At 38.5% G+C, this 23,433-nt stretch overlaps 1 protein-coding gene and 2 pseudogenes across 4 annotated transcripts in view, besides 2 other annotated features; 2 read left to right on the top strand and 1 right to left on the bottom strand.

Moving 5' to 3' along the window:
• BBS12 (Bardet-Biedl syndrome 12) overlaps positions 1 to 22,816 on the top strand; it is a 44,498-nt gene extending 21,682 nt beyond the window's left edge. The window contains exons 1-3 of one of the 3 annotated variants that reach the window (NM_001178007.2): positions 10,581 to 10,761; positions 11,781 to 11,968; positions 19,760 to 22,816. In NM_001178007.2, the coding sequence (NP_001171478.1) occupies positions 19,770 to 21,902 (2,133 nt within the window). In that variant the 5' untranslated portion in view covers positions 10,581 to 10,761; positions 11,781 to 11,968; positions 19,760 to 19,769 and the 3' untranslated portion in view covers positions 21,903 to 22,816. Of the gene's footprint in view, positions 1 to 10,580; positions 10,762 to 11,780; positions 11,969 to 19,759 lie in introns of those variants that run through there. The other 2 variants (NM_152618.3, XM_011531680.3) reach the window with 2 other exon arrangements.
• On the bottom strand, positions 8,066 to 10,335 carry CETN4P (centrin 4, pseudogene; annotated as a pseudogene). The gene is made up of 3 exons (NR_024041.1): positions 10,296 to 10,335; positions 9,929 to 10,070; positions 8,066 to 8,512 (listed from the first exon to the last, which is right to left on the bottom strand). The product of NR_024041.1 is annotated as a centrin 4, pseudogene (transcript).
• Positions 10,251 to 10,470: a silencer, noted in NCBI's record as "silent region_15665". NCBI's record gives its function as "represses an Ori minimal core promoter by ATAC-STARR-seq in GM12878 lymphoblastoid cells {active_cell/tissue: GM12878}" and the evidence as "EXISTENCE:reporter gene assay evidence [ECO:0000049][PMID:35858748]".
• Positions 10,831 to 11,040: an enhancer, noted in NCBI's record as "active region_21875". NCBI's record gives its function as "activates an Ori minimal core promoter by ATAC-STARR-seq in GM12878 lymphoblastoid cells {active_cell/tissue: GM12878}" and the evidence as "EXISTENCE:reporter gene assay evidence [ECO:0000049][PMID:35858748]".
• LOC727709 (DNA damage regulated autophagy modulator 1 pseudogene) lies at positions 17,250 to 18,596 on the top strand (annotated as a pseudogene).

The raw sequence follows: 23,433 nt of genomic DNA on the forward strand, positions 1-23,433 counted from the left end.
GGTCAAATTTTCTTTTATACCTTATGGATATACTATTGACTTGGAACCATTATTATGAAAATGTCCCTCTTCTCTGGAGAGCCACCTTTGTCTTAAATCAAGTCATGTAAGTATGGGCGTGTTTCAGGACTTTCTATTCTATTCCACCGGTCCACTAGTCTATCCTAGTCCATACCACACTATTTTGATAACTGTGGATCTATATTTAGTCTTGTTATTCAGGCAAGCTAGTCCTCTTACCTGTGCTTTGGTTGTGCATTGTCCCCTTGGATTTCCATGTAAAATTTAGAATCAACTTGTCAAGTTCTACACAAAAACACAAGCTAGGATTTTGATTGCACAATATCTGTAGATCAATAAGCAGACAACTAATGTCTTTATAACATTGAGACTTCCAACCCATGAACATAATAGCTCTCCATTTATTTATGTCTTCTTTAGTTTCTCTCAATACTTCTTAATAGATTTTTAATGTAGAAGACCTGTGTATCTTCATTAGATTTAGTCCTAAAATTTTTATATTTTTAACAATGTTATGGTCTCTTTATTATTTGTACCTGATACCTAAAAATACAATTGTGTCGATGTTTGTATTTGCATCACAACCTTACTTTCAGCAATCTATATAAATTCTTTTGGATTTTCTATTGTATGTATCATCATGTCACCTGCAAATAAGATTTTATATCTTCCTTTCCAGTCTTTATGTATATTTTTCCTTTTCTTACTTTATTGTACTGGCTAGCACTTCAGTACAATGTTGAATAAAGGACATTCTGTTCTTATTCCTCATCTTAGAAAGTTTTCCATGTTTTACAGTTTAACTGATGTTTATAGGTTTTCAAAATACCCTTACGCTGTTCACAGAAATTCTCTCTTGTTTTTTGTTTGCCCTGAGTTTTAATCATAAATGGACGTCAAATTTTATCAAGTGTGGGTTTTCTCTCCTATTAAAATTATTACATGATTCTTTAATTCTGAAAATATGATATATTCCATTAATCAAATTTCAAATGCTGAACAATTTGGTTGTCCTGGAACAAACCAAATTAGGTTTGAACTATCCTGGTAGGTTCTATCCTTGTAGAAATAATGAACTATCCTTGTAGGTTCCGGTAACAAGTTGTTGCCTACCTCACAAACCAAGTTTGGAAGCGTTATCTCTTTTTCTATTCTCTGAAAGAATTAAAAATGCTTTTCCTTAAATGGTAATAGACACCAATGAAATTATTTGGGCCTAGAGTTTTCTTTGTGGAAAAGTGTTTATTTTCAGATTCAATTTCTTAAATAATTACAGAAGCATTTAGCTTTCGCTCCATTTCCTTATATCCCCAGTTTTCTGCTTATTCTCAGACTTGACTGTGATCCATCCAATATGAATTTTTATCCATTCTGGAATGAAAGCAAGAACTGAAATTGGGTGTTGTGGCCTCTTTGATGTGTTTGTTATCAGTCTGTCTTTGGAGTTGCAAAAGTTCTGTCAGCACAAACCATAAATTTTCCCCACTTCTGATACTACCTGAAACCTGGCAGGTGGTTAATTTCATTGCCAACAATCTGCTTATTGCAACTAAAATATAAATCAGAACTCCAGGACATCTATACTAAACAACAGCTTAGAGGAAGAAAGTATTTGAGTGGCAGGTTCAGGGTGGCAGGAACTGCAAAATGGGATGTTTAAAAAAGTTCTTAATAGCCCTCTCATTGGTGAACTAAAGTCCCCATGATATCTAAGCTACAGAAAGAGGCAGCAAACTCACTGAGTTTCAGATGCGTGTGTGACAAGCAAATAGTTATAAAAGAGCATCACCCTAATAGATGATATTGCTATTTTAAATATGCCATCATGTAATAAGTCTATTTAATCTCATCTTTATTTAATATTTGATAGAACTCTTAGTTGGTTCCTTGTATATCTAGCCATTCAATAGGGGAGAAGTTAACACAAGTCTCAAGATGGAGGACTATAGCAGTAATCTATTGCTGCATAACTGTCCCATAACTCAGTAGCTTAAAATAATTGTTATTGCACAGTTTCTATAAATCAGAAATCCAGGGGTGGCTTCACTTGTTCCTCTGCTTCAGGGTCTCTCACTTGTTGTAATCAAAGTGTCAACTAGAGTTGTACTATCTCAAAGGTCAACTGGAAAAAGATCACTTTCAAAGCTCGTTCACATGGTTGTTGGCAGAATTTGGTTCCTCAGGAATGGTTGGAATAAAAGCCTCTTAAATTGTCCATATATTGATGAATTTGATCTTGCTCTGAAAAGAGGAGGAGAAACATAGAGAACTAGATATGCTTGAATTTGTTTTGGAATTAAAGCAAGTAAATTCTGTGATCTTTGACTAAAATTCTCCAACCCTTCTTATCTGACATATAAGATACAGTCTCAGACTCTTACCTTATCTGCCTTTACCTGACTGTGAAACCATAAAATAGTTATAATTTTCCCTTTTTTAAATAATAAAATTTATAAATTTCAACAGTATTTTGAGTAGGGAAGCATTTTGAGATGTAAGCACTCTATCAAATTCCAACTTATCTACCATAAAAGGGTCAGTTTCTACAAGGCAATCACAAAGTCCTGAATATGTTCCAGAATAGCTCAAGAGTTCTGTCCTGGTCTTTGATTTTTGTGTTCTAGTAATATTCCCAGGGCCATTCTTAGGATTTGAGGCATTTTAATTGGGTATACAAGAAGTTATCCCTAAAACACAGAGGGATAGATTTAAATAAATAGATCCAAAACTTACAAAACTTTCCCTTACTCCAGTATGGGCTTAAATCCAGATCATCTCAACTAAAAGGTAAAGATGATTATGTTTCAAAAGGAAAATTCAATGCCATGATTTTTTTTTAAATATCCTTTCTTTTTTTACTCTTAGAATTAGGCTACAGTCTGGTAAGAGTCATATGGCCATTATGAGACTAAATACTGTTAAAAGACAAAGCATTGCCATTTTACTGTTACATAGCACAAATATCTGTAGAAATCATCTCATGAAGTAAACTTAAAATGTAGAGGCTTGGGTAGAATCAATATTGTGAAAATGATCATACTGCCAAAAGCAATCTACATATTCAATGTAATTGCCATCAAAATACCACCATAATTCTTCACACAACTAGAAAAAACAATCCTAAGATTCATATGGAACCACAAAAGAGCCCGCATAGCCAAAGCAAGACTAAGCAAAAAGAACAAATCTGGAGGCATCACATTACTGGATTTCAAACTATACTATAAGCCCATAGTCACCACAACAGCATGGTACTGGTATAAAAATAGGCACATAGACCAATGGAACATAATAGAGAACGCAGAAATAAACCCAAATACTTACAGCCAACTGATCTTCGACAAAGCAAACAAAAACATAAAGTGGGGAAAGGACACCCTAATCAACAAATGGTGCTGGGATAATTGGCAAGCCACATGTAAGAGAATGAAACTAGATCCTCATCTCTCACCTTATATAAAAATCAACTCAAGGCCATGTGCAGTGGCTCTTGCCTGTAATCCTAGCACTTTGGGAGGCTGAGGTGGGAGGATCATGAGGTCAAGAGATTGAGACAATCCTGGCCAACATGGTGAAACCCCGTCTCTACTAAAAATACAAAAAATTAGCTGGGTGTGGTGGCACGAGCCTGTAGTCCCAGCTCCTCAGGAGGCTGAGGCAGGAGAATCGCTTAAACCCAGGAGGCAGAGGTTGCAGTGAGCTGGGATCATGTCACTGCACTCCAGCCTGGGTGACAGAGCAAGACTCTGTCTCAAAAAAAAAAAAAAAAAAAAAAAATCAAGATGGATCAAGGACACAAATCTAAAACCTGCGACTATAAAAATTCTAAAAGACGACATCGGAAATACCCTTCTAGACAATGGCTTAGGCAAAGACTTCATGACCAAGAACCCAAAAGCAAATGCAACAAAAACAAAAGGTAAATAGGTGGGACTTAATTAAACTAAAGAGCTTCTGCACAGCAAAAGGAACAGTCAGCAGAGTACACAGACAACCGACAGAGTGGGAGAAAATCTTCACAATCTACGCATCCAACAAAGGACCAATATCCAGAACCTACAAGGAATTCAAACAAATTAGCAAGAAAAAAAACGATGCCATCAAAAAGTGGGCTAAGGACATGAATAGACAATTCTCAAAAGAAGATATACAAATGGCCAATAAACATATGAAAAAATGCTCAACATCGCTAATGATCAGGGAAATGCAAATAAAAAACCACAATGCGATACCACTTTACTCCTGCAACAATGACCATAATCAAAAAATCAAAAAATAATAGATGTTGGTGTGGATGCGGTGAAGAGGGACCACTTCTACACTGCTGGTGGGAAGGTAAACTAATACAGCCACTATGGAAAAAACTGTGGAGATTCCTCAAAGAACTAAAAGTAGAAATACCATTTGATCCAGCAATCCCACTACTTTTCCCAGAGGAAAAGAAGTCATCATACAAAAAAGATACTTGCATATCCATGTTTATAGCAACAGATACTTGCACATCCATGTTTATAGCAGCACAATTCCAATTCGCCATTGCAAAAACATGGAACCAGCCCAAATGCCCATCAATCAACAAGTAGATAAGGAAATTGTCATATATATATAATATGGAATACTACTTAGCCATAAAAAGAAATGAGTTTATGGCATTTGCAGCAACCTGGATGGAACTGGAGACTATTATTCTAAGTGAAGTAACTCAGGAATAGAAAACCAAACATCATATGTTCTCACTCATAAGTGGGAGCTAAGCTATGAGGATGCAAAGGAATAAGAATGATACAATGGACTTTGGGGACTCAGGGAAAAGTGTGGGAGGGGGTGAGAAACAAAAAACTACAAATTGGGTTCAGTGATACTGCTCAGGTGATGGGTGCACCAAAATCTCACTAAAGAACTTACTCATATAACCAAATACCACCTGTTCCCCCAAAACCTATGGAAATAAAAACATTTTTTTAAAGAAAAAAATATAAAGGCTGAAACACAATGCAAATCAAAAGGCAAATAACAAATGGTACAATGCATGCAACATATATGACAGACAAAGATTAATCTCTTTTGTATATAAAATGCTCTTACAAACCAGTGATTTTTTTTATTTATTATTTTTTGGAGACGGAGTCTCGCTCTGTCACCCAGGCTGGAGTGCAGTGGTGCGATCTCTGCTCCCTGCAAGCTCCGCCTCCCAGGTTCACACCATTCTCCTGCCTCAGCCTCCTGAGTAGCTGGGACTACAGGTGCCTGCCACCATGTCCAGCAAATATTTTTTATTTTTAGTAGAGACAGGGTTTCACCATGTTAGCCAGGATGGTCTTGATCTCCTGACCTCGTAATGCGCCTGCCTCAGCTCCCAAAGTGCTGAGATTACAGGCATGAGCCACCGCCCCTGGCCAATTTTTTTTTTTTTTTTTTTTTTTGAGATGGAGTCTCACTCACTCTGTTGCCCAGGCTGGAGTGCAATGATGCGATCTCTGCTCACTGCCACCTCCGCCTCCGGGGTTCAAAAATTCTCCTGCTTCAGCTTCCCGAGTAGCTGGGATTACAGGCGCCTGCCACCACGTCCAGCTATTTTTTTGTATTTTTAGTAGAGACGGGGTTTCACCATGTTGGCCAGGCTGGTCTCGAACTCTGATCTGCCTCCCTCGGCCTCCCAAAGTGCTGCGATTATAGGTGTGAGCCACTGTGCCCAGCCACAAACCAATAAATTTTAAAATCCAATGGAAAAATAGGCAAAGGACTTTGTTAGACAATACACAAAAAGGAATAGACAAATAGAGTCTAAACATGTGAAAAAACACTCAATGCCTCTCATAAGAGAAATGAGCATGAAAAATGTATGATTTGCAACTTGCCAGACTGACAGAAATCAAAAAAGTTTGATAATACTTTGGGCATTTTCATATAGTATTTTTGGAAATGTAATTTGGCAAAAATCTTTTTAGAAGGCAATATCTATCAAAAATAAAAATATTTAAATTAAAATGCATATTGATTTTAACCCAATCACTTCATTTGTGACAATTAATTGTACAGGTATTCCCAAATTAAACATATGTATAAGGATATTAATTTAAGCAAAACGTTGGAAACTAAAATGTCTCCCATTAGAAGACTGTCAAATATAATAATTGATATAATGAATTATATGGCCATTCCATTCCATTAGAATGGAATATTATACAGATATTTTATTTGTATTGTTATGCAACTATTTCTCAAGTTATGTAACTATTTCTCAAATATATACACAATGTGTATAATATGCTATCATTTGTGAAAAAACTATTCTGTATACATATGTATATGAATATGCATTCTCTGTAATGATTCATTAAAAAGTGGCAAAAATCTTTGTCTTTAGGAAGAACTGGGGCTTGGATAGGAAGGAGACTTTTATTCAGAACTTTTGGAACTTGTTCATGTATACTTTTAACCATTTGAAGGCTAACATTTTCACATATGAAGCACATTTAATAGGCAAGTTTTTCCCTGGTCTAGAAGAAATGTTACATAATTAGAAATCAAAGACACTGTGAAAACACTTGAGAATGCTCATGAGCACATACAATTCTAGTTTCAATCAAATAAAACCTCTTGTGTTGACAAGACAAAATTAAAACCTTCAGTTTTCATTTCAGTTGTGCTAAAAATGAACCAGGTAGTGTCACTATAGTTAATTTTCTATGAGTCTTTCTTGCTCCAAAGACAACTTGGTTATCAGAAAGTGTTTGTGTGGAGCAAGTGGCATCTGTTGCCTATTTGTCAGGAGCAGAAGTCTGAGCACTTCTGTCCACTGCATCTTGTTTCAAAGTCGCCAAGGAAAACAATGCAGTGAAACACTGGGTGGAACACACATTACTCACATACAGAAGAGACAGAGCAAGATCAGCTTCCCTAGTGGACTTCAGTCTCCCATGACCAGAGGGTCCCTCTTGGCAGCTGACACAGGGCAGGTGGCCTGCAAACACTCCTCTTGTGCTGAAGGACCCCCATCCCCTCCCCCACAGGAGACAGAGCAGTGGGGTTGGTCAGATGCCATATGATGCACACACTTAAGCAGGGCAAAGGACTACACATTGACTCTGAAACAGAGGAAGATATTACTATACGGGGTGGTAAGTTCAGCACAGGCTCTGTGGACTCCTAGTCTCTTCAAAAGAAGTGTTCCAGGCCCAAGGCCCACTCTCAAACAACTGAGTAGGAGTTAAAAGACTGTATGTATGAGATTCCGTTTCCCAACAGTTTGGCTCTTTCACAAGGAAGAAATCACAAGAGTCACAGAATTGAAAATGAGTTAGAAAATACACAGTTATCTTGAAAGTTTTATCCATAGGGAAGCAGCATAATGAAGAATAAGAACTTAAGATTTGGAATCCATGTTTTATTTCTTATCAATGGGCAACTGGGGAATTTTTAAAACTTCTCTGAACTTTAGTTTTCTTGTATGTAAAATGGAGCTAATACAATCAGCTTCCAACTTGTAATATGTTTACTGAGGTTAACACATAAAATCTCGGCCAGGCACGGTGGCTCACCCCTGTAATCCCAGCAGTTTGGGAGGCTGAGGTAGGCAGATCATGAGGTCAGGAGATTGAGACCATCATGGCTAACACAGTGAAACTCCGTCTCTACTAAAAATGCAAAAAATTAGCTAGGCATGGTGGCAGGTACCTGTAGTCCCAGCTACTCGGGAGGCTGAGGCAGGAGAATCTCTTGAGCCCAGGAGGCAGAGGTTGCATTGAGCCGAGATCGCACCACTGCACTCCAGCCTGGGTGACAGAGGGAGATTTTGTCTCAAAAAATATATAAATAAAATTTTTTAAAAATAAAACTCTACACCACCTGTCCTAGCACAGAGGTATTAAGTGCTCACTATAGAGTCAAACTTACAGGGAAATATGGGTGATGTAAGTGCTATTTTGAATTTTCTTTATAACTAAAAGAAGAAAATTAGCAAATAATGTTTCCAGACAGTTCTATTTAATACTTTATGTATTTGAGTAACTGACTAAAAAGCAAATGTTCATCAGGTTTTTTTGGGTTGCACAAAAGGAAAATATAAGTTTTGTTTGCCAAATTCATTTGGATGTGAAGCCAACTTCATCAAACTTTAAAATTCTAAGTCTTTGTGACCTAAGGTTCTCAAAAGAGCAGCTAGAATCAATACTGTTCTTGGATTAATGGCTCAAAGAAGTCATTATGTTTTGTTTCTTGATGCTGTAGATTTAACATCATATTGGTAGAGATGTGTAACTTCTTACATGGATTAGACATCAAGAAGCCAATGTGTACATATAAACTAAAAACTGAAAATGAATACATTCAGATATTAAATTATAAAACTGCATAACAAATACAAATTTGTTAATTTTCCACAAGGACTAAAACAACGCTATTAATAACGAGTAGTCTTTTTCATCACTCTCAAAACATCTTCCTCGTTTATTTCTCCATCTCTATCATGATCAGCTTCATCAAGCATTTCCTGTAAAACAAAATGTAAATATATGAAATACATTTAAAATGACATAAATGAAGTCAAACACATATTCAAAACCAAATTTTATTTTAAATGCATAAGTGCAACTAAAGTTAGAATTATAATCCTAAATTATCACATAAGTTATAATTACATATAAATTATAATTATAAAAATAAGCAAAATCTACCTGAAGTTCATCATGTTAAATTTTCCCCTGGTTTCTTAGCAAACCTCTTGATACCGGTTAGTATTATACTTCCAGTATCATCATCATCAAATAATTTGAAAGTCTTCAATATTTCTTCTTTTTCATCTTTTTTACTCTTTTAAAAAAGAAGCAACTATCCAGTCTTTCATTTATTTATTTTATCAAGCTGGACTTAATTAGATCTTTGGGGTCTAAAGCAGCAATGTGCCAAGTAGCTGTGTTCTGATTTTATTTATTGGTCTTTTAACAATTATGTACTCACACCTGCCCTCAAGGTGCTTAAAGGTAGAGCTTGCTAAGGTGGAGAAGGCACAGGGTGGTCCAGAATGCATCTCTTATTAAACCTCATAATTCAGATCCGTTACCAAAAATGTAAGCTTCAAAATGGAAGGTTGTATCTTTCAATGCTCCTTAGAATAGTGCCTGGCAAAAATAGGCATTCAATATATGTTGCTGAATTAAAGGCTTCCAAATTCTGGCCCCATTCTCTCTATCCTGCAATATAGCCTCATTATTTCCTGACAAAAACCTCTTCTCCACATCATAGTCTTCTCATTACTACCCTGAAAACATATTTAATCTTGCTCTTCCTATCTCCCATCCTTAAAAACCTAGTTCTAATTGCTTCTCTATAAAACTTCTGATTGCTCCAGCCCTAAAATGTAGCAGGTTATTGCTAGTATTTCTTTGAAAAATAAAATCATAACTATATCATTTTTATACTCATAATGGCAAAAAAAAATCTTCAAAACTAATGGTGCCAATTCCTTCTTTATCAACTTCAGCTACCATTTTTTAAATTTCTTCTTTCTTTGGTTCAAATCCTAAGGCCCACACTGCAATCTGAAATAGGAAGAAAAGGAATTATAATATGCCATGATTTCTTTCTAAGCTTTTTAACTCCCTATTAAGAGCTTCTCTCTTTTCTATTATGGACTGAGCATAAACAGAAAATTAGGTCAGCAGGCCTGTGTTTCAGTCCTACTGTGCCATCATGTACATCACTGTTACACCCTGGGCTTTTGCCTACTCATTTATAAAACACAATTAAAATGCTTAACAAGATATCGTTTTGCTAATGCAGGGCAGGCATATGCACTGAAGAGACTTTATATTAAGCTTTCAGAAGACTACTTTTAAAGAAAGCCTTAAAGATTGCCACAAATAATATGGTTTTTAAAATGATTTAGAATTAGAAATAATTTCAGAACCTTCTTTTACATCGATGGTTCCAGACCCATCAATATCAAATAAATTAAAGGCGTCTTTAATTTCTTGCTTTTGGGATTCATTCAGTTCAATTTTTGCTGCTCTTTTCTTCCATTGGTCTGAACTTGTATGGTAGTTAGATGCCTGTAATACACACACATATGGGTGAAAGATAAATTATATAACTGGAATAGTTAGCAGAACCAGAATAATTGATGATAAACTATATTAAAGTACCTATTTCCTACTATAAAATGAATCTCAACAGGAGTAAGGAAGGAGTGCAGTTGCTGCCAGGGGCAGCCTTCCTTGCTCTGGCGGAAAAACTTCGGCCCCGGCCCCAGCAGAAGGTTACAGCTTCACACTCACCAGGTCCCCAGCCGGCAGCCGGCGCTCTCAGCCGGGACCTCCCGGCGTCACCTCCCGCAGCCCCGCCCAACCCAAGTCTTCACAGCTCACTGGCGGTTGCTAAGGCCGCTCTCACCGACCTCTCTCAGCCCCGCCCACCCAGCCTGAGTTATTGACATCCAGTTCATCCAATGGACAGAAAAAAAGGCCTTTAAACCAGCCCTTTCTCTCTACTCCCTACCAATAGCGTGACGTCCCCGCCTTTCGCAGCCCGGCGTTAAGCGGAACTTCTCTCTCCAGCTGTGTCTCTTAGCAACTAAGCCCCCGGCTCCTCCAGAAGCCCCTCTTCGCACATGCGCAAACTGCGGACGGGGAACTGGGCTCCCTAGCCCTGGCGTTTTTGGTGTTGCTGTCCCAGCCAGAATCGCGTCTGGCCGGTGGGAAGCCGGGAACTCCAGCCCCCTGTAGGAGAGGAGAAAGGAGCGAGGTTAGTAGTGAGGTGCTTCCGCTGACTGCTAAGCTAAGTCTTTCCTGAAGACGTGGGAGCCCGTGTGTTTGATTTTTCTGTCCTCTTCGGGCCAGGGAAAGAATGAGAATCTAGGGCCTGGAGGTCCTGGGGTGAATTGGTCCAGCATGTGGCTAGGAGTACTAGAGGAAGAGGGGACTGCCCTTTCTTTTTGCCGCTAGACTTTCCTCATTTTCTACAGTGCCTGGAGCTGGGCCTTCAGCCATTTACCTCCTCCCTGTTTTGGGCAGGGATTCTGGCATGGTAGACACCAGAATTCTGTATAGCAGTGGCATGGGGTAACAGTGTCGTTGGAGGGACGTGGGTATTGGGATAAGCATGGGTCTTGGGATGTATTTAAAGCTTCACTACATACATAGATAAACGTTTTTACATGTTTCGTGTAGCATTTGTTTACGAGGTAGGACTTTGGCCCCACCCATAATTACTATCGGACCCCGCCCTCCAACCCCAACACACACACACACACACACACACACACACACACACACACACACACACATCCAGCCATTTCCTTGGCCCAGTCCTAAGATTTGGCCAGTTGTCAACGATATCAACTTGATCTGCACTTCAGAGTCAGACACAGGTAGTCTGATTATCCAGTTGATTCAGTAACGGCCTAGATTTAGATACTTGTGAAACTTTTGTAAACCAACTCAATCTCTTGTCCAGAGGGCCAGATTTACTGCTTCTGCCCGTTCTGAATTTGGCCAGGAATCAGCTTAAAGGACAGGGGAGAAAGACTGAGGTAGGATGGACCACTGACTTCCTGGTGGGAATGAAGGAATGAGAGAATCTTAAAACTTCTAACCTTTAATTGCTCACACATGCGGACCCCTTTTATGCCTCCTACAATGTCTTCTCTAGAGGAAATATTTTCTAAAAATTATACTGGATTCTTCAAAAATGGATTCAGGAAGAATACTAACTTTAGTCTTTTTTTTTTTTTTTTTTTTTTTGTCTCACTTATCTTCCTGAAGGCAGGAGAGGAAAACAAGTGCAAAGTGCATTCTTGAAGCACTCTGTCAAATCACTTTTCATGCTTCATTGAGTAGAAACATGGCACATTTTCCAAAGCCATCAGCCTGTCTTGTTCATATTATATCCCAGACAGACACGCAAGTATTGTAATCATTGATAAAAATCTCATTAGGCTTCTGGAAAATAGGTAAGTTTATCCTCATATTGCAGGTGATTTTTCCATATAAAGTTACCCAGTGAAAATTAAAATGGCACAAATCCAAGATAATTTTTGAGTTAAGTAAAATGTGGTCACTTTAATATATGATTTTTCACGTCATTTATCTCACTTGGAAAGTTGCTCTTGATCAGTTTCAAGGTCATACACTTTTTTTTTTTTGAGACCGAGTCCTGCTCTGTCGCCCAGGCTGGAGTGCAGTGGCTCAATCCCGGCTCACTGCAAGCTCCACCTCCCGGGTTCTCGCCGTTCTTCTGCCTCAGCCTCCCGAATAGCTGGGAGTACAGGCGCCCGCCACCGCGCCCGGCTAATTTTTTTGTATTTTTAGTAGAGACGGAGTTTCACCGTATTAGCCAGGATGGTCTCCATCTCCTGACTTCATGATCCGCTCGCCTCGGCCTCTCAAAGTGCTGGGATTACAGGCGTGAGCAACTGCGCCCGGCCATATACTTCATTTTTAATACTAATATTAAAAGGATTTCTTAGACCCAGAAATGAATAGTGACCAAGTATATACTCAACCCAATCCTAATTTCGAGGATCTCTTGGATCATGTTTGATCTAATGACAATTAAATGGCGGAGTAGTATATTAACCTATTTTTATATCACTATGATTTAGGCTTTTATATTTGGAATATTTACTGCTAGTTAAAATGTTTTTTTAATTGTAGGCTCAGATTCCAACTCCCAGATCTTGAATAGGATGTAATTAGTTTTGAAAACTAGCTATTAACGAATCTAACTGCACTTTAGAACATTAATCATCATCATTATCCAGGAAAACATTAAACACATAGGCACTCTTAAATCTCCCAAATGTATTTAATGTTTTCTATATGTCATGCACTATGCCAACTACTGGGTGAGTTCGAAAGAAATAAAAATAGAATATAAAAGATGAATAACTAAGGAATCTACAGATTAGTGGGGGAGCTAGACACAAACATAATACAATGTTTTTAATACAGGGTATTTTTAATCTGCTTTGGTAGATGGGTATAGAAAGTGCGTTGGGAGCACAGAAAGGAGGGACAACTCTACCCCAGGGCATTAGAGAAGTCCTGATAGGAAATGAGGCATTTGCGTTGGGTCATGAAAGATCTATAGCATCTATGGAGATGAAGAAAATATAGACTATTCAAATCAGTATAGCTTAGTGAAAATAAATATGTTCTAGCGTGACAAGATCATGAGGTTTATAAGGAAAGGTGGGAGAAGAGTCATAAATTAGGTTGAGGTTAGATTATAAGGCACATATATCAAGCCAAGGAGTAAAGACTTTCTTTTTTAAGATAAATAGATGTTTTTTGGCAGTGGAGTAATCTGTTTAGGTTTGTGCTTTTTCAGTGCTAATTCTGACCACCATATGAAGGAGGAACTCTCATTAGAAGCAATTAAAGGGCCTCAACTAAGGCGGTGCCAAATAGGAATCAAGTCAACTCCAAGGATGGTTAAAACTTATATTCATGTTGGAGAAATACTAAAAGTACCGTCTGTTTTCTCTTGCTTCAGTTTTGTACTTAAATTTGGGGGAACAAATATGGTGAAAAAAATTCATTCACTTACCAAATATTTATAGAGTACTTGCTGTGTGTCAGGCAATATTGTAGGTACTCGGGATATACATCATTGACTAAAATTGCCTTCCTGGAAATTACATTCTAAGAGAGAGATGTAGTCTATAAAAAATAAATAAGTAAACTATATCCTATTTTATAAGGGAATAAGTGTTATGGGAAAAAGAAAGTATAACAGATGGAACAAATCCAGAGTACAGAGGGAAAAGAGGATTTGTGGTATTCTATAGAGTGCTCAGGGTAGGCCTCATTGAAAAGCAGAAAATTTGAGAAAATATTTGAAGGTGATGCAGCAATAGATTTCTTAGGGAAGAGCATTCCAGAAAGAGGGAACAACTAGAACAGAAACATTAAGATAGGGAACATGCAAAGCATTACAAAAAGAGGCCAGAACAAAGTGGCCAAGGGATAAAATAGTAAGTGATAAAGTCAGAAGGGTAAAGAAAGGACTGCAAATAGTTAGGGCATTGTAAGGACTTTGACTTCGACTCCAAGTGAAATGGGTAGGCCTTGCAAGATTTTGAGCCTAGGAGTGAAAGGATATGAGTTCATTTTTAAAAGGGACTCCTGTGTCAAAGGCATAAAGCTTTATTTTCTGAGTTAGAGGTTTTTAAACAGTAGAGTGACATGATTAGACTTCTGTATTGGGAATAGACTGGAGATGAGCAAACAGTTGATTTAGATAATAAAAGGCTAATCATGCCCATCAAGAAAATATTATAATTTTTCAAAATGCAGCTCCTGAAAGCATTGCATGTCTTATTACTCTAAACTGAGTACCTTAGACAAAACTGGACATAATCTTTTGAAAAAAAAAACTTATTCTGATGTCAAAATTCCAGTTAAGTTGTCTGACTCTGCTCTTCCATTACACACTTAGAAACTCAAAGAAACATTAAGCTGGCAAGTACTGAAAACAGAGAACTGTTTGTGGAAAACATTGGTGCATAACAGGACATGCATAGCAGGACAAGAATCAGATTGTGTCTGTGTAATGCCAAGAAGAGTTGCCAGAAGTACTTATCATCTTTGAAATTATCCACTTTGTTATCCCCTTTGCTGTTTTTGCCTTTTTATACCCCATCTCTTAGAGGATGGGGCATTTTTGTTTTGAGTTTTTATATTATGTTAATTATAGCCGACTGTAACCTGTTCAAAATAATAATTTAGGAGCTCTTCTAGAGTTGGGAATGCTGAGAATTTTTAAAAATTACTAAAACTTGGAATAGCTTTTTCAAATGCCAAAGCAGATTTGTCTTGAATATTGATTTTGATATCAGTTTTATGTGACTTTTTGCTTATACATTAGTTTTCTTTAAATAATTTCATGCCTTTTGTATCTAGGAAACTTTTTCACATAAATTAAATACAGATTAAATTTGAAATAGCCCATGACTGTTTCCATTCGCTCTAAGTTCTCTCTGACTTTTCTACTCGTAGTAATATCTTGTGATTTAAGCATAGTATAGAAAGGAGATCATAAGCAGAGACCCTGATACATGTACAAGTTAAGAGTATGAATAAGGTTTGGAAGAAGGCAGAAAGGTTTGGAAAAGGGAAACACAGTAAAAGATTCTAAAGAAGAGAGGGTGAATTACTATCATACTGGGCAAGGGGCACCTAAAAGGCAGAATTATATAGTAGTTAATAGCATAGGCTTTAACATTAGACAAACCTGGGTTTTAGTCCATAGCCTTTTACAAATTAGCTGTGAAATTTTGTATATGTTATGTAACTATTCTGCTTCATTTTCCACATCACTAAAATAGATTATAGTACCTCCCTCATGTTGTTGTGAATGAATACTACATTACATAATACTTGTAAAATGCCTCATACTTAGTAAGCTTTCATAACATGTTCGAAATGAAAAACAAAACCCAAAAGTCAATCTTTTCAAGCTTGTCCTTTCAACAAATTATTCTGGAGCAACTGGATATCCATGAGGAAAGAGGAACCCCTACCTCACACCATTTACAAAAGTTAATTTAAGATGACTTATGGACATAAATATAAAAGCTAAAACAAACGGAAGAACAAATTTGGCATCTCATACTTCCTGATTTCCAAACTTACTACAAAGCTATAGTACTTAAAACCTGTGGTACTGGCATAAGGATGAATGTATAGATCAGTGGAATTGAATTGAGAGTCCAGAAATCCATAGACATCTATGGCTAATTGATTTTTGACAAAGATGCTAAGGCCACTCCATGGGGAAAAGAATTGTCTCTTCAGCAAATGGTACTGGGACAATTGGATATCCACATGCAAAAGAATAAAGTTGGACTCCTACCTTACACTTTATATGTAAATTAACTCAAAATGGGTCAACAAACTAAATATAAGAGATGAAACTATAAAACTCTTTGAATAAAACATTGGGCTAAATCTTCATACCTTGGATTTGGCAATGGATTTTTAGATATGGCACAAATAATATGAGCAAACAAAAAAATAGGTAAATTAGATTTCATCAAACAACAACAAAAAAATAGGTAAATTAGATTTCTAATTTCTTTTTCTTTTTTTTTGAGACAGAGTCTCGCTCTGTTGCCCAGGTTGGAGTGTGCAATCTCGGCTCACTGCAGGCTCCACCTCCCGGGTTCACGCTGTTCTCCTGCCTCAGCCTCCTGAGTGGCTGGGACTACAGGTGCCTGTCACCATGCCCGGCTAATTTTTTTGTATTTTAACAGAGACGGGTTTCACTGTGTTAGCCAGGAATGGTCTCGATCTCCTGACCTCATGATCTGCCCACCTTGGCCTCCCAAAGTGCTGGGATTACAGGCGTGAGCCACTGTGCCTGGCCTAGATTTCTAATTTCTAACTAAAAACATTTGGTCATCAAAATGCATAATCCAAAAAGTGGAAACTGACTTACAGAATGAGAGAAAATGTTTGCAAATCATAGTTTGATAAGGATCTAGTGTCCAGAATGTATAAGGAACTCTTACAACTTACCAAAAAAAGACTAACTGCTCTATTTTTAAATGGTCAAAAGACTTGAATAGACATTTCTCCAAAAAAGATACACAAATGGCCAATGCACATGAAAAGATGCTCAATATGAGGAAAATGCAAGTCAAAAACACAATGAAATACCACTTCACATTCACTAGGATATCTATAATATTACAAAATATTACAAAAGCAAAAATGGAAAGTGTTCAGTATACTGGACTGAATATTTCCCCCCAGTTCATGTCCTTCTAGCATCTCAAAATGTGATCTTATTTGAAAATAGTTTCTTTGTAGATGTAATTAGCTAAAGTGAGGTCATACTGGATTAAGGTGGGCCCTAAATCCAATGACTGGTATCACTGGATTATAAGAAGGCTGTTTGAAACAGAGGCAGAGGTTAGAGTTATGCAGTCAGAAGCCAAGGACCACTAGGAGCAACTAGAAGCTGGAGGAAGCAAGGAAGGATTCTTCCCTTGATCCTTCAGAAGGAGCATGGACCTGCCAGCATTTTGATTTTGGGCTTCTAGACTCCAGAACTGTGAAAGAATAAATAAGTATTGTTTTAAGCTACCCAGTTGTTTGTGGTAATTTGGTATGGCAGCCCTAGGAAGCTGATGCAGTGAGGATGTGGAGAAATCAAAACCCTCATACATTGTTGGTGGGAATGTTCAGCTGTTATGGAAAACAGACAGTTCATTCAAAAGTTAAAGATATTTGCTCCTCCTTTTCATGCCTGTGGCTGGATGTCCCACAGCACTATAGGAAATGTGAGTCAGGCCTTTTGCATTAAGCAACCAAGAACTACAGACTCCACCTTTTCACCCAAATCATGAATGACCAGTGAAAAGCAACTTATTTCAGAGGAAGAAGCAGCCCTTGAAATGTTAAGGCTTGGGCTTGAAAGTTGAAGAGCAGGAATTCTCTCTTTCAAAGACCCTAGAGCACAAACCTTTGTGTGGCCAAGTGGGATCAGCCCTCAAGGGCACATGCCAAGGACAGAGCAGCCCATGTAGACAGCTTCGGAGGGTATGGGGATGTGGGGAGTTAGGGGTAGCTCCTCATTAACTATTTGTTGGGTGAGTATAAGGGCGAAGCTCAGTGGCAGTCAGCCACCTCTGCAATGACAAGCTGTCTCTCCCCTACATGTTTAGCATATATTATTAGAACACGTCCCATGCCCCCGCTCCCTTTAAGGCCAAGTAGAGAAATCTGGCAATAAAAGGCAAATGTGAGCATGCTTTCTCTAAGATGCATCATAAATGGTTTTCTTTAAGTGAATGAAGACTTTGACAGAGAAATATCTTTGTAAGCAAACATTAAGAATGCTGGCTGGGTGTGGTGGCTCATGCCTGTAATCCCAGCACTTTGGGAGGCCTAGGCAGGAGGATCGCTTGAGCCTGGTACTTCAAGACCAGACTGGGCAGCATGGCGAAATCCCATCTCTACAAAAAAAATAGAAAAATTAGCCGGGTATGGTGGCATGCACTTGTAGTCCCAGTTACTTGGGAGGCTGAGGTGGGAGAATCACCTAAGCCCAGGAGGTCGAGGCTGCAGTGAGCCATGCCACTGCACTCCAGTCTAGGTGACAGAGCGAGACCCTGTCTAAAAAATAAAAATAAAAAGAATGCTAATCATTTCTGAGTTCGCTGTGACTTGTAATACTGGGGATCTCCCTTGTAACACTGGAACTGAAAGACTGACGAAAGCTATGTCAAGCATTCATTATTCTGAAGAGGAGGAGAAATGCCACATACCTTTCCCATTGAACCTGTGGTGGAATAAATCCATGGTTGTGTCTTGCTTTGAACAGACTTTTGTTCTGAGCACTGCTCACGATGGATTTTTATGCTTCATTTTCATATCTCTCTGCACAATTAGATTGGGAGTTCCTTGAGGGCAGAGTATGTATAATCTTTGTCTTTGTAATCCCGGCAATTAACACAGTGCCTCCTGGTACATTGTAGGTGCTTAAGAAATACTCACTAAATGCATGAATGAATGAAACGAAGGAATGACTAGGAATGTTTGTAGTGCTATAATATATAATGGGATATACTCCAGTCTGGTACTTGTCTAGTCAGTCCTCTACGGTGTTATCAGAGTGGTAATATATCCAAAACATTACAATTATTATTGTTATTAAAACAAGAACTCATAAAACATGGTGCCAGACATTGTTCTAAGTACTATATTCACTCCTTATAATGACTATGAAATAGCTTCTATTATTATCCCTGTTTTTTAGATGTGGAAATTAAGGGATAAAGTACATAACTTGCTGAGGGCTATATAGCTAGTAAAGCGGTAGGATTAAGTTCACACCCAGACTTCTAGGTTTAGAGTACATGTTTTCAAACACTACATCAAGTTGTTTCTTGATCTTTTTTATTAAAAACATTTTAACGGTTCCCATTACAGGATCAAGTTTAAGTTACTTGCTATGGCACATAATGCCCTTCGTAAACCAGCTCATTTCCTCTTCTAGAGCTTCATCTGCTACTGTTCTCCACTACATGTTTTTTTTTGTTGTTGTTGTTTTTTCTGAGACTGAGTCTTGCTCTGTTGCCCAGGCTGGAGTGCAGTGGCGCCATCTTGGCTCACTGCAACCTCCGCCTCCTGGGTTCAAGCGATTCTTCTGCCTCAGCCCCCAAAGTAGCTGGGACTACAGGTGCGTGCCACCACACCCGGCCAATTTTTGTATTTTTAGTAGAGACGAGGTTTCGCCATATTGGCCAGGCTGGTCTCGAACCCCTGACCTCGTGATCCGCCCGCCTCGGCCTCCCAAAGTGCTGGGATTATAGGCATGAGCCACTGCGCCCAGCCGCTCCACTACATTTTTTATATTCTCATAAAACCAGGCTACTTCTATTTCCCTGAATACACTATGTTTTTTTCACATATATGTACATTTACTACTACCTCCTTCAACTTGTAACTCTTTCCAGTTATTTTTCAAGACTCATTCCAAGAATTGCTTTCTTCTGGAAACGTTGCCTACAGCCCTCATGCTTCATTTCCTCTGTTGGGTGGAGTGTTTCTCTTCCATTCCCCCATACCTTTATCATTAATAGAATAATAATACTGTATCATTGCACTGACCACTTTTCATGGAAATTATATGTACCTCAAAAGCAGGGAGCATATCTTGTTTTTATTTCTATATAGCATTTATAACTATGAATTATACTGAATAAAGTTACAAGTTTTTATTTTGTTTGCAGATCATGATACATGGTGATGGCTTGCAGAGTCGTAAACAAAAGAAGACACATGGGACTTCAACAACTTTCATCATTCGCGGAAACAGGAAGAACTTTCCTAGGCCCACTAAAATCATCCAAATTTATTATAGATGAAGAATGTCATGAAAGTGTATTAATCAGTTCAACAGTAAGGCTTCTTGAAAGTTTGGATTTAACCAGTGCAGTGGGACAACTTCTCAATGAAGCAGTTCAAGCACAAAACAACACATATAGAACTGGAATCAGTACTCTTTTGTTTCTTGTTGGTGCTTGGAGCAGTGCAGTTGAAGAATGTCTTCATCTTGGTGTCCCCATTTCCATAATAGTATCAGTAATGTCAGAAGGCTTAAACTTTTGTAGTGAAGAGGTAGTTTCTCTTCATGTACCTGTTCACAATATATTTGACTGTATGGACAGCACAAAAACATTTTCTCAACTTGAAACATTTAGTGTAAGTTTGTGTCCTTTTCTACAGGTCCCTTCAGATACTGATTTGATAGAGGAATTGCATGGTCTCAAAGATGTTGCCTCTCAAACACTGACCATTTCCAACCTTTCTGGGAGACCTCTTAAATCATATGAATTATTTAAACCTCAGACAAAGGTTGAAGCAGATAACAACACATCACGAACTCTGAAAAACAGCCTGCTTGCAGATACCTGCTGCAGACAGTCAATACTAATCCACAGTAGGCATTTTAATAGGACAGATAATACTGAAGGGGTAAGCAAACCAGATGGATTTCAAGAACATGTTACAGCTACTCACAAAACTTACAGATGTAATGATTTGGTAGAGTTGGCAGTAGGCTTGAGTCATGGAGATCACAGCAGCATGAAGTTAGTAGAAGAAGCAGTACAGCTGCAATATCAGAATGCTTGTGTGCAACAAGGCAACTGTACAAAACCATTTATGTTTGACATTTCAAGAATTTTCACTTGCTGTCTACCAGGCTTACCTGAAACTTCTTCTTGTGTTTGTCCAGGATATATCACTGTTGTGTCAGTATCTAATAATCCTGTGATCAAGGAATTGCAGAATCAGCCTGTGCGAATAGTTCTCATTGAGGGTGACCTCACAGAGAATTACCGCCACCTGGGATTTAATAAGTCTGCAAATATTAAAACAGTATTAGATAGCATGCGGCTTCAAGAAGACAGCTCAGAAGAACTGTGGGCAAATCACGTGTTACAGGTGTTAATCCAGTTCAAGGTGAACCTTGTCCTGGTACAAGGAAATGTGTCCGAACGCTTAATTGAAAAATGTATAAACAGTAAGCGGTTGGTAATCGGCTCAGTGAATGGCAGTGTGATGCAGGCTTTTGCAGAGGCTGCAGGAGCAGTACAGGTGGCCTACATTACACAAGTGAATGAAGATTGTGTGGGCGACGGGGTCTGCGTGACCTTCTGGAGAAGCAGCCCTTTGGATGTTGTAGATAGGAACAACAGAATCGCAATCTTATTAAAAACAGAAGGAATTAATTTGGTTACGGCCGTGCTCACTAACCCAGTTACTGCACAGATGCAAATCAAAGAAGATAGGTTCTGGACATGTGCCTATCGTTTGTATTATGCTCTAAAAGAGGAAAAGGTCTTCCTTGGAGGTGGTGCAGTTGAATTTTTGTGTCTTAGCTGTCTTCATATTCTTGCAGAGCAATCTCTGAAAAAAGAAAACCATGCCTGCTCAGGGTGGCTGCATAATACTTCCTCTTGGCTGGCTTCATCTCTGGCAATATACAGACCAACTGTGCTTAAATTCCTGGCAAATGGATGGCAGAAATACCTTTCAACTCTCCTATATAACACTGCCAATTACTCATCAGAATTTGAAGCCAGCACATACATTCAACATCATCTGCAAAATGCCACAGACTCTGGCTCTCCTTCATCTTACATCTTGAATGAATATAGTAAACTAAATAGTAGAATTTTTAATTCAGACATTTCAAATAAACTGGAGCAGATTCCGAGAGTTTATGACGTTGTTACACCAAAGATTGAGGCGTGGCGCCGAGCATTGGATTTAGTATTGTTAGTACTTCAGACAGACAGTGAAATAATTACTGGACATGGACACACACAGATAAATTCACAGGAATTAACGGGCTTTCTATTTTTGTAGTGTTACTGGCTAAGTCTTTGGAAAATAATTTTTCATAATATGTCATGCTAATAATAAATATATTGATAGCCAAGTCATGGTGCCTAAAATGCCAGCTATTGCCAAGAAGAAAATAGTTGATGTCTGTCAATAACTGTGCATGGTCTGAGATTTTACCCTACTTATAAGCTAACAAGTTAGCCTGTTACTGTTTCGTGGGATGCTACAGAATGCATAAGACACCTGGGTCAGAAACAAAGGACTTATCGCTCACAGCAAAAGCTGTAGCCAGAGCTTCATGTTGGTTTTATTCAGTTCCTCATTTTTCTAGTTCCCACAGGAGGAACACAAAGGGCCCATGATGAAAGCCTGCACACAGTGGGTTATGTTGTAAGCTTGGGTTATTAACTGCTTTTATAGTAAGCAAAAAAATCCTGGTCTTTGTCCAAAGGGAGTTATTACCCCATACTTGAAGATAGCTTAGTGTAAACACAAGCCTAGGACATGGACTAGGTAAAGACAAAGTCCTTGCATTCTTGACATACCCAGTAAGTATGCAGGGACACTCAGAGCCCATAGTGGATAGTCTCTTCCAACAGTCTGCTCCTCAGCCTGAGATGTTCTTGGCCAAACTTGAATTTTCACATGAGTATGCCACTCTATCAGCTACTCTGATTAACCTGACAGTCGGGTTGTTTAGTCAGTACCAAATTTGTTCATTTGGTCTCATATAGCAATTAATGCAGGCTATTATCAGACACAGCAGCAGGATGAAGCCAACCTGCAGTATTAACCTCAGTCCTGTCCCCCAAGGTCTTGACTCAATCAACTCTAAGTTCCAAGGGAGGACCAATAGGTCTTTTTATTAGGCAGCCAGAATGTAGTGAAGGACAATTTATTATACTTTATGACCCAATAAAGGGAGCTTTGACTGACGTACTGATATGTGGTGTTATTATCAATAATTATGGGTGCAATAGCTGGGCCAAAAAACAAACCTGTTCCCTATGGAGAGCCCTTCTATGGCTTATTTTCCCCACATACAAGTACATAAGCCCAAAGGGTCCAGGTTACTCTAGTTCAGAAGTATTGTCAAATCTGATTTAAATCATCATATGTGGATTTCAGTCACATAAGTAGTGTCACTGAGTAGTTGCAGCCTCGGTTGCTATACATGGTATAATCCAAGGCCACTCTGACAAATTTAGAGAAGCATAAGTTCAATCAGAATGAAACAAGGTTGTGCTGGTCCCTGTGTTTCTACATGTTCACATATGGGAGCCACCCATGATGGCATCATGTACTGCCTCCTATACTGGTAGAGTCTTAGTAAGGTGTTGAGCCTCCTTTTTGCTGGTGAGGCCAAAGAGACAGCATTTATTTGTTTCATTGCCAAAGGAATTGAGTGCTGTAAATCTCTCCAGTCTCAAAAAACGACTGGTCAAACAGGGCCCTAAATTTTGTCTGGGTTTACCAGCCATTCCTACTGGTAGAGATATGAAAACACCACAGTCAAAGCTGTTGGAAGTGGCTTCTGATTTCAACCACTGGA

Source organism: Homo sapiens, chromosome 4 (assembly GCF_000001405.40).
Source record: "Homo sapiens chromosome 4, GRCh38.p14 Primary Assembly".
In the NCBI taxonomy this organism is placed as follows: Eukaryota; Metazoa; Chordata; class Mammalia; order Primates; family Hominidae; genus Homo; species Homo sapiens.